The 12,342-nt window shown below is 34.7% G+C and overlaps 1 protein-coding gene, 1 long non-coding RNA gene and 3 pseudogenes across 9 annotated transcripts in view; 1 reads left to right on the top strand and 4 right to left on the bottom strand.

The window, feature by feature from the left end:
* ARMCX5-GPRASP2 (ARMCX5-GPRASP2 readthrough) overlaps positions 1-12,342 on the bottom strand; it is a 308,717-nt gene that overhangs the window by 94,001 nt on the left and 202,374 nt on the right. The gene's annotated exons all lie outside the window — the stretch shown is intronic.
* LINC00630 (long intergenic non-protein coding RNA 630) overlaps positions 1-12,342 on the bottom strand; it is a 195,371-nt gene that overhangs the window by 150,460 nt on the left and 32,569 nt on the right. The gene's annotated exons all lie outside the window — the stretch shown is intronic.
* On the bottom strand, positions 6,240-7,323 carry MTCYBP32 (MT-CYB pseudogene 32; annotated as a pseudogene).
* On the top strand, positions 7,418-7,900 carry MTND6P32 (MT-ND6 pseudogene 32; annotated as a pseudogene).
* On the bottom strand, positions 7,944-9,432 carry MTND5P26 (MT-ND5 pseudogene 26; annotated as a pseudogene).

Here is a 12,342-nt window from a genome sequence, read left to right as displayed (position 1 = left end):
AGTATTTGCTCTAGTAGTTAGGCCATTATGTTAACGCCAGAGGCATTCCATTGACAGAATGGAAGAGGCAAGTTGGAATGGGGAATTACCATTTGCTGATAGTCTACTAGGTACCATACACTGTAGGTTGTTATTTTCAGACTTTTTATCTTCAAGTCCTCACAGTGATGTTCTGAGGCTGACATCAGAGCTTCCTTTCTACAGATGAGGGATAATAGGCTTAGGGGGCCAAGTACATATTCAAGGAATTTTATGGAAGCTTCAAATGGACATGAGGCCTACTTTAAGGGGCTCCCACTAGCCAGTTTTGAGAACACTTGAGCACCAAAATTGATATGGTTTGGATATTATCCCCTCTGAATCTCATGTAGAATTGCAATTCCCATTGTTGAAAGTGAAGCCTGATGGGGTGTGACTGGATGATGGGGGTGGATTTCTCATGAATGGTTTAGTGCTATCCCCTTGGTGATAAGTGAGTTCTCCATCAGTTAGTTCATCTGGTTGTTTAAAAGTCTGAAACCTTCCCCTTGTCTGTCTCTCTTGCTCCCACTCTTGGCATGTGACATGCCTGCTACTGCTTTGCCTTCTGCCATGATTAAAAGCTCTCTGAGGCTTCCCTAGAAGCCAAGCAGATCCTGGGACCATGCTTTCTGTCCAGCCTGCAGAACCATGAGCCAATTAAACCTTTTTCTTCATAAATTACCGTCTCAGGTATTTTTGTATAACAGCACAAGAATGGCCTAATACAAAAAATGTATACTAATAACTACAGAGGGTAATCCTTTGAGGAACATGGGAATCTCAGAGTCATATTGACATAAATAAATGTTAATAAATACATTGATAAATAAATAAGGGAAAAGAAAAAGCTCTATCTTTTTCTCAGATGCAAACTAATAATTCCAGAAGGAATATCAGAATTGGAAAACATTCACTTAACAACTATCATAATAATACGTGATTCAGGCAAAAAACATAAACAAATGCTCATTCTGTACCAAATGTCATGGCAGTCACTGAGTCACCATGGTAACAATGTGGGCCAAGACAGCTTGGAAAAGAAAATAACCATCACTTTGATTTGTTTTCTAGTATGTCCTAGGAACTAAACTGGTCTGATATGACTACAGTAATTAACCTGAGGTATTCCTCACCATAAATACTTCTGGCAGCTTCAGCAATATACACATTCATACCCACATACATACTCACATACATACATGTTCTCTCTCTCTCTCTTTCTTTCTCAACACCCAAGATCCCAGGAATTCATTGAGATGGATTGCTGGTGATGGGGAGTAGGTAACAAACCCCACAATTCAACAGATTCAATTCTGAGCACATAGAAAGCTGAAATCTACTAAACTATTTTATAATGGATTTTTCTGGAGATGACCTGTTGATTTGTCTCTGGGACATTTTTTCCTCGAGTTACAGTACACTTTCAATAACTTCTGAAAGCTGACATGGAAACACAGGCAAATGCTTGTTAAGTATCAGGTACCTTTTCCGTTTTATAGCCTGAGATCTCAACCTAGAAGATTAACAGCTACTGTTAAACATTTGGCAGCTGACAGCTCAGTGAAAATAAAATATGCAGAAATGTAATTCAAACTACTGGCATTTATAAGAGCACCAAGAAATATGAAATAACTAGGAATAATCTATCCAAATATGTGACAGGTCTGTATAGTGAACGCTATATAACATTGCAAAGAGAAACTAAAGACCTAAATAAATAGAGACATACTGTCTTCATGAGTTTGAAGACTCAGTGTTGTTAAGATGCCTGTTCTGTTTAAACTGATCTATATATTCAGAACAATCCCAATAAAAATCCTAACTGATATAGTTTTAACAGAAAGTAAAATGCTGTTTCTAAAATTCATGTAAAAATACAAAGGATCTAGACTATGAAAACAACATTGAGAAAGAACAAAACGGATGACAAACACTACCTAATTTTAAGACTTCTTACAAACCCATAGTAATCAAGACAGTGTGCTACTGGCATCAAGGCAGAAAGGTAGATCAAAAGAACAAAATACCAAAAGCAATGGCAACAAAAGACAAAATTGACAAATGGGATCTAATTAAACTAAAGAGCTTCTGCACAGCAAAAGAAACTACCATCAGAGTGAACAGGCAACCTACAAAATGGGAGAAAATTTTCGCAACCTACTCATCTGACAAAGGGCTAATATCCAGAATCTACAATGAACTCAAACAAATTTACAAGAAAAAAACAAACAACCCCATCAAAAAGTGGGCAAAGGACATGAACAGACACTTCTCAAAAGAAGACATTTATGCAGCCAAAAAACACATGAAAAAATGCTCACCATCACTGGCCATCAGAGAAATGCAAATCAAAACCACAATGAGATACCATCTCACACCAGTTAGAATGGCAATCATTAAAAAGTCAGGAAACAACAGGTGCTGGAGAGGATGTGGAGAAATAGGAACACTTTTACACTGTTGGTGGGACTGTAAACTAGTTCAACCATTGTGGAAGTCAGTGTGGCGATTCCTCAGGGATCTAGAACTAGAAATACCATTTGACCCAGCCATCCCATTACTGGGTATATACCCAAAGGACTATAAATCATGCTGCTATAAAGACACATGCACACGTATGTTTATTGCGGCATTATTCACAATAGCAAAGACTTGGAACCAACCCAAATGTCCAACAATGATAGACTGGATTAAGAAAATGTGGCACATATACACCATGGAATACTATGCAGCCATAAAAAATGATGTGTTCATGTCCTTTGTAGGGACATGGATGAAATTGGAAATCATCATTCTCAGTCAACTATCGCAAGAACAAAAAACCAAACACCGCATATTCTCACTCATAGGTGGGAATTGAACAATGAGATCACATGGACACAGGAAGGGGAACATCACACTCTGGGGACTGTTGTGGGGTAGGGGGAGGGGGGAGGGATAGCATTGGGAGATATACCTAATGCTAGATGACGAGTTAGTGGGTGCAGCACACCAGCATGGCACATGTATACGTATGTAACTAACCTGCACAATGTGCACATGTACCCTAAAACTTAAAGTATAATTAAAAAAAAAAAAAAGAACAAAATAAACCACCAAAAAATTGACCTACATATATTGGACAACTGACTTTTAACAAAGGTGCAGAAGCCATTCAATGTATAAAGGATGGTATCTTCAATATATTGTGCTGAAACAAGTAGATATTCATATACACAATTATATACTGATCTATATATTGTACCATGTACAAAAGACAATTCAAAAGGCAATTCATAATGGATCATAGATGTAAATATAAAACCTAAAGCTGTAAAACTTGTAGAAGAAAACATGGGAGAGCAAAATTGTGACCCTGAGTTAGGTAAAGATTTCTTAGATGAATAAATCAATAATTTGGAATGTGTCAAAGTTAAAAACTCTGCATCTTACAAAGACATTGTTAAGAGAATGAAAAGACAAGCCCCTGATTGGGAGAAAATGTTTGAAAATCATATCTGATAAAGTACTTGTATCCAAAATATAGAAAAATATCACAAAATTCAATTAAACACTCCAATAAATAAATAGGCAAAAGAGTTGAATAGACACTCATCTATAGAAGATAAACAACTGTCAAATAAGCACATGAAAATATACTCAAACATCATTAATCAATTAGGGAAATGTAAATGAAAACTACAAGGCATCACTACCTTGTGGCTTTGCTTTTTTTGTACTTTAAAAATTATTCTTAGCATTGTTCCCTTACAGTACTATTTCTATAGCACCTAAATAAATTTCTATCTTCTATACTTTTTATGAATGAATGTTTTCATTTAAATATATGTAATTGTTGAGATTTGTTAGTTTTGGTTCAAAGTAGTCAGATTAATATGAAATCTTCTGGGTGTAAGCCAGGTGTTTTGAATTCAGATACATTTTGGTTTACCTAAGCACACTTTCCAGTATGATTATTTTGTTGTGACTTACCTTCTTTTATACATAAATTTGTGTTAATTATAAATTTGGGTTTGTTAAAGTATTTCAGGAGGCTGATAGGTGGTGTGTTCATGTTCATTCAACTAAGCTCTCTATTCCTAATTTACTACTAAATCCTCCTTTGACCTTTAGTTTCATAGGGGTTACTATAGGTGGAGTGTTCTTTAATTAGCAACTGTAGCCCATTTCTTCCCATCTCATAGACTACACCTTGACCTAACGTTTTTATGTAAATATTTGTGATTAAGACTTTTTAGGGTTAGCTGAAGACAGCAGTATACGGCTGAATCGGCAAGAGATGGAGAGGTTTGTCAGAGTTTATCAATTATAGAACAGCCTCCTCTAGAGGAATATAAAGCACTGCCAAATCCTCTGAGATTTAGGCTGTTGCTGGTAGTAGTACTCTGGCAAATAACTTTATTCAGTTATTTAAGTTTATGGCTAAGCATAGTAGGGTATCTAATCCCAGTTTGGGTCTTAGCTATTTTAAATTCAGAACATAATAAAGTCACTTTCATAGTTTATTTTCATTTTAGCTATTGCCTTTTATGGCTTACAGTTTAGCTTTAGTTAGACATAATCATAAACGTGTTGGGTACTATTGATTTGGGTTAATCATATGACCTCAGTGGCTGGCACGAAATTTACCAACCCTATGGGAAATTACTATAGCTTGCTCGAACTTTCATTTACTGTTTAATTTCTATCACTGCTGTTTCTTGTGGGAGTGTGTTGAGCAAGGCATTATGAGATACTAATTAGTGTGCTTGGTATCTGCTCCTTTTGATCTTCCACTGATCTAGAGGGCATTCTCACTGGTATTCAGACACTTGCATATGTAATCTCACTGAAAAGGCCAGGACCAAACCTGTGTGTTTATGAAGTCACATGAATTCATCCAGGCATTTTCAGTGGCTTGCTTTATTGAATTAAGCTACATCAGCTTGTATCTAGGGAATACTCTCGAGGGGAAATTGCTAAATTTAAGTATTATTCTAGTATTGAGAGTTTTTTGATAATCTTATTGAGAAACAAAAAGTTTTAGCTTAGAAAATCAAATTTTTAATGGATTTTTTTGTTTGTTTTAGAAAATGCTTTAATTAGGAGTTAGGCTGAAATAATATTTTGGATAAGTTTATAATTGAATTTAATAATATGTGGGTACATATTAGAGCCTTAGGTAATAATCAGCAGATATAAGATTTTTTGTTTGGGGGGTTTGGCAAGAATAAAAGATTGATATTTACATAAATACTGTAACAGCTTAAAGTAGGGGATTAGAGGGAGTTTGCAGAGTTAATCATGTATGATGGGAATAATTATGCATCTGTGACTGTATCTTGTTTTTATTATGCCCATTGAGCATGGATTAATTAACACCTTATCGTTTTTGTTTGGGAAAATAACATTCAATTTAAGTTCAACTACAGTCAAGTTTTGTCAAGGCCTTGACAGCCATGTTGGATCACATCATCCCCCCAAATTAAAAAATACCAAATGCATGACACCACAGTTATGAGTGATCATGGGTTGATTAGTCATTAGTCCATTGAGATGTCTTATTTAAGAGGAAAAAGAGGATGGATATAAGCTCATGGCCCTGAAATAAGAACCAGATGTCTGGTATAGTTTCAGTCTAGAAACCCCCAAGTTTTCTGAGTCCAGAGTGAGAAGATGGACACTTCCTGAGCAGACTGCTAATTTATCAAAGCTTGGTAGACAAGAAATCCTATTGGAGGTGATAAGCATGTTGTCAAAAAAGGATTTGACTTCCTGTGCTATGTATGATCAATAATATTATGTCCTATGTAAAATGAAGAACTTACTGTATGGAACAATACTCATGGTTAAATCCATATGTGTGGACTTTTAATTTAATGTATTACACACTGTGATTAGTTTGATGTGCATGGTTGTATGCATGGGGAATGGATTTTAAAGCACCATAAGATAAAAATGTATAATGTGTGATGAAGTGTATATAGTACTACTACATAATTAATGGGGTAAATTACATGATGCATGATGTACACAGGGTGATTAGATTTTATGTTTTTTTTCCATACTGACATAGAACTCAAGAACAATTTCTTTGCATTCAGTATAAGAATCAGGGAATAGAATATCAGCTTTGGGTGCTGATAGTGGAGTGAATAGCTTTTCCTTTGACTGCGCTGGGGAGAGGTGCTCTCCATTTTTGGTTTACAAGACCAAATTTAATAAACTACAAGAACTCTTCATTGAAGTTTATTCTTGATTAGGCTAGTAAGTGGTATTAATATGAGAACAAGGGAAAAATATAAAATGGATAATAGTTGTTCAATAATAATGAAAGGGTGTTCTACTGATTGACCTTCGATTTGTGTGAATATGAGGTTATTATAATACTAGAACCCAGAATAGGCATTGGCTTAGTACCTGGAATATCATGCTTCGTTGTTTAGATAACTGAAGGATTGGGATGATTGCTAAAATTATGATTAAGAGCACAAGGGCTATGACACCTCCTAGTTTATTGGGAGTAGATCCTAAATTACACAGGCAAATAGAAGATATCACTCTGGTTTAATATGAGGTGGTATATTGAGGGGATTTGCTGGAATATAATCTGGGTTTCCTAAAAAGTCAGGGGAGAATAAAACAAGTTTGAGTAGAAGTGATAGTAGAAAAATAAATCCTAAAATGCCTTTAATTTTGTGATAGGAGTGGAATGGGATTTTATTTGAGTTGGTTGAGATTCCTTGGGTTATTTGATCCTGTTTCATGTGGGAATAAAAGGTGCACAATAATTAGAGCTGAAACAATGAATGGCAGAATAAAATGAGAGGTGAAGAATTGTGTGAAGTTGCCTTGTCAAGAGAAAATCCACCTCAGATTCATTCTAACAGGTTGGTGCCAACGTATGGAATAGTTGATAGTAAATTTGTGATTGTTGTTTCTCTTCATGGTAAGACATAGCCTATGAATGCTATAGCTATTACTGTGAATAAAAGAATAATTCCAATGTTTCAGGTTTCTAGAAAGGTACAGACCTCAGCCTACATGAATAAACAGATAAAGAATATAGATATCCATTAGCAGGCAGATATTAAATGATTCAGCCATAGCTTACATTTCAGCAGATGTGTGTGATAGAGGAAAACACAGTTACTGTGTCTGAGGTACAGTGTATAGCTAGGAAAAGCCCTGTAATGATTTGTAAAGCTAGGCAAACTCAGTCTGAAGAAACCGAAATTTCTTCATGTTGAGTTGTTTTATGGTGCAGGTAGATCAATAAATAAGAATTTTTATTAGGAAGTGAGATTTTTAAATGTTGGTTATCAGAGCTCTGACAGTTGACGTGCAATGATGATTTTTCACGTGATTGGTCATGATTAGATTCCATGTGAGAATTATGACATATACTATATTTTGTTACTATTTTTGTTGTAGGCATCATAGGACTTTCTTCAAAACTTTTACCTATTACATGGGTTTAGGGTTATCAATGGTGGTGTGGAATGCAGGATTGTAATAAATTTTGGTGGATGTTTTATGGGAATGATAGTGTTTTAAATTTATTTAGCAGGGATACTGGTAGTATTTAGAATCCTATAACCATAGCTACTAAATACAATCCTGAAATGTGAGGATCTGGTGTTGTTATTTGGGGGAGGTTCAAATCCTAACAATAGTTAGGATTATTAATATAATTATTTAATCATTGTATAAATAATAGGCTATGATGAAATAAAAATTATTATTGATTTCAAAAATTTAGAGGATTGGGTGATTTTTGAGGGTAAAGAAGTCAGGCTTCTTTGTGAAGATTCTATAGGTGTGGTTGCATTGTACAGTTAATGGAGTTGATTCATGGTCGTAAGTGACTGATCCTTTTGTTAATATTTTGTTGTTATTGAAATTACTCACAGTAATTAAGTGGCTAGAAGTATAGATAATAAAAATGAAATGAAGAAAGAGAAAAAATATAATTTAATTAGGCCATTTTGGTTAGGGATACTTACTGAGGCTATTATTTGGAGATGAGATAATTTTTGGTATTTTTCTAGTCAAGTCTAATTAAAGTGATGCTGTATTTTGACTTTTAGAAAGGTTTAGGTACGCTGATAAATGGTGAACAACTGTTGGAAAAACCCTAGAAGGTTAGAAAATTTATATATGTATGAGGAGAATTCAAATTTGAGATTACATGTTATTAGGTTAAATTCTAATTGCCATAATGAAGCCTAAGATAGTTATGGCAAGGGCTGAAAGTTTTAGGTATAATGGCATAGTCATTTGGGGAATAGTTACAGGAGAAATGTTGTTGGAAATTTTTAAAAAAGCAAAAATACTACCAATTGTTAAAGGTTTAATTGAATTAATTAGGAAGGAGTTAATTTCACCGATAATAATGAAAGCTGAAAAACTAGGTAGTCCTAGGAGTGCAAAAAAGACAATTTGAGTACTGTAGACAGCTGTTAGGGAGGTGGTGATAAGTGTGATTAAAAGGGCTCAGGCAGTAGTATACAACATGCTTGCAGTTTTGATAAATAAGTCTTTGAAGTAGAAGCCTGTAAGGGAAGGTATGCCTATGAGTGCAAGGCTTCCAATAATAAGTAAGGAGGATTGAAGAGGTATGTATTTAAATAGACATCCTATTTTTTGAATATCTTGATCATCATTAAGGTTGTGGATGATGGCTCTGAATATATAAATAGTATAGCTTTAAAGAATGCATGTGTCTAGATGTGGAGAAGTGCTAGATGTAGTTGATTAATACCAATAATGACTATTATAAGACCTAGTTGTCTTGAGGTACAAAATGTGACAATCTTTTTGATGTCACTTTGTGTTAGGGCACAAATTGCCGTAAATGTAGTGGTAATAGCACCTCAGCATATTTTTAGTGTTTGGATTGTTTTATTATTTTCTATTAGTGCATAAAATTGGGTTAAGAGCCCCTGTTATAACACTGTGATGAAATGGAGTAGGGCTGAGACAAGTGTTGGACCTTCTATTTCTGATGGTAATAATGGGTGAAGGCCAAATTGGGCAAACTTGTCAGTTGCCAGAATGACTCCACTTAATGGAAGGATATTGGGATAGGAATTGAGCATAAAAATTTGTTGCATTCTCATGTATTTGAATATAATAAAAAACCCATATTATTGTAGTATAAATCCAGTATCTCCCATGCAGTTACATAAAATTGTTTGGAGGGCTGCTGTATTTGTGTCTATTCAACCATATAATCAATTGACAAAAATAATATAATTCTTGCTTGTTCTCAAACAGTTGAAAGGAGTTGTTGAGAGTAACTAGAAATAGTATAGTGATAAGAAATATGAGCAAATACTTAAAGAATCAGTTAATGTTTGGATCTGAATGTATATAGCATATTGAGAACTCTATGATAGATCATGTAATAAAAAATGCTACTGATAAAAACCTATTCAACAAATGGTGCTGGGATAATTGGCAAGCCACATGTAGAAGAATGAAACTGGATCCTCATTTCTCGCCTTATACAAAAATCAACTCAAGATGGATCAAGTGCTGAAATCTAAGACCTGAAACCATAAAAATCCTAGAAGATAACACTGGAAAAACCCTTCTTGACATTGACTTAGGCAAAGACTTCATGACCAAGAACCCAAAAGCAAATTCAACAAAAACAATGATAAATAGGTGGGACTTAATTAAACTAAAGAGCTTCTGCACGGCAAAAGAAACAACCAGCAGGGTAAACAGACAACCCACAGAGTGGTTAAAAATCTTCACAATCAGATATTAGTCCGACAAAGGACTAATATCCAGAATCTACAAGGAACTCAAACAAATTAGCAAGAAAAAACAAACAATCCCATCAAAAAATGGGCTAAGGACATGAATAGAAAATTCTCAAAAGAAGATATACAAATGGCCAACAAACATATGAAAAAATGCTCAGCATCATTAATGATAAGGGAAATGCAAGTCAAAACCATAATGCAATACCATCTTACTCCTGCAAGAATGGGCATAATCTAAAAATAAAAAAAAAATAGATGTTGGCAGAGATGCAGTGAAAAGGGAACACTCACACTGCTGATGGGAATGTAAACTAGTACAACCACTATGGAAAACAGTGTGGAGATTCCTTAAACAACTAAAAGTAGAACTACTATATGATCCAGCAATCCCACTACTGGGTATCTACCCAGAGGAAAAGAAATCATTATATGAAAAAGATACTTTCCCGTGCATGTTTGTAACAGCAGAATTCGCAATTGCAAAAATATGGAACCAGCCCAAATGCCCATCAATCAATGAGTGAATAAAGAAAATGTATATGTATGTATGTGTGTGTGTGTGTGTATATATATATATATATACACACATACATATATATATACACAAACATATATAGATATAGATATAGATGTAGATGAAATACTACTCAGCCATAAAAAAAGAACAAAATAATGGCATTTACAGCAACCTGGATGGAATTGGAGACAATTATTCTAAGTAAAGTAACTCAGGAATGGAAAACCAAATATCATATGTTCTCACTCATAAGTGAGAGCTAAGCTATGAGGATGCAAAGGTGTAAGAATGCAACAATGGATTTTGGGGACTTGGAGGAAGGGTGGGGTGAGGAATAAAAGACTACAAATTGGGTACAGTGTATACTGCGCTGGTGATGGGTGCACCAAAATTTCATAAATCACTACTAAAGAACTTACTCAGGTAAGCAAACACCACCTGTTCCCCAAGAACCTATGGAAATTTTTTAAAATTTTTAAAAAGACATAATCTAGCTTGAAGGTGAGTGTTAATTTTAAAGTTTGGATCGTGACAGTTTGAAATAATTATTTATTGGCTCAAGCAAGTCAATATTATGGCTGGAATGGGGTTGGTTGTAAAAGTGTATGAAATAGAGATTTTTACATAGTGAGGTTAGAAATAACTTTATAAACAGTAGTTATAGTTACAATAATTGGTAGAATTAGGAGGATTAGTGAAATTGTGAAAAAAATGAAAAAATATATTTATTTACTTTTATTTGGAGTTGTATCGATTTTTTGGCTCCTAAGGCCAACAGATTACTTCTACCCTTTAAAAGTTGAGAAAGCCATATTGTTATACATGGGGGCATGAGTTAGTAGTTCTTATACACTTTCTTTTATTTTTTATTTTTTAATTTTACTTTAAGTTCTGGGGTACATGTGCAGAATGTACAGTTTTGTTACATAGGTATACATGTGCCATGGTGGTTTGCTGCACCCATGAACCCCACTGTCAATATTAGATCAACGAGACAGAAAAATTAACAAGGATATTCAGGACTTGAACTCAGCTCTGGACCAAGCAAATCTAACAGACATCTACAGAACTCTCCACCCCAAATCAACAGGATACACATTATTCTCAGCACCTCATCACACTTATTCTAAAATTGATGACATAATTGGAAGTAAAACACTCCTCAGCAAATGCAAAAGAACAGAAATTATAACAAACAGTCTCTCAGACCACACTGGAATCAAATTAGAGCTCAGGATTAAGAAACTCACTCAAAACTGTACAACTACATGGAAACTGAACAACCTGCTTCTGAATGACTACTGGGTGAATAATGAAATGAAGGCAGAAATAAACATGTTCCTTGAAACCAATGAGAATGAAGACACAATGTACCAGAATCTCTGGGACACATTTAAAGCAGTGTGTAGAGGGAAATTTATAGCACTAAAATGCCCACAACAGAAAGCAGGAAAGATCTAAAATTGACACCCTAACATCAAAATTAAAAGAACTAGAGAAGCAACAGCAAACAAATTCAAAAGCTAGCAGAAGACAAGAAATAACTAAGATAAGAGCAGAACTGAAGGAGATAGAGACACGAAAAGCCCTTCAAAAAAAATAAATGAATCCAGGAGCTGGTTTTTTGAAAAGATCAACAAAATAGACCGCTAGCAAGACTAATAAAGAAGAAAAAAGAGAAGAATCAAATAGACGCAATAAAAAATGATAAAGGGGATATCACCACTGATCCCACAGAAATACAAACTACCATCAGAGAATACTATAAACACCTCTATGCAAATAAACTAGAAAATCTAGAAGAAATGGATAAATTCCTGGACACATACACCCTCCCAAGTCTAAACCAGGAAGAAGTCAAATCCCTGAATAGACCAATAACAAGTTCTGAAATTGAGGCAGCAATTAATAGCCTACCAACCAAAAAAAGTCCAAGACCAGACGGATTCACAGCCAAATTCTACCAGAGGTACAAAGAGGAGCTGGTACCATTCCTTCTGAAACTATTCCAAACAACAGAAAAAGAGGGAATCCTCCTTAACTCATTTT

This window comes from Homo sapiens, chromosome X, assembly GCF_000001405.40.
Source record: "Homo sapiens chromosome X, GRCh38.p14 Primary Assembly".
In the NCBI taxonomy this organism is placed as follows: domain Eukaryota; kingdom Metazoa; phylum Chordata; class Mammalia; order Primates; family Hominidae; genus Homo; species Homo sapiens.
This window is presented reverse-complemented; position numbering and strand designations above follow the sequence as displayed.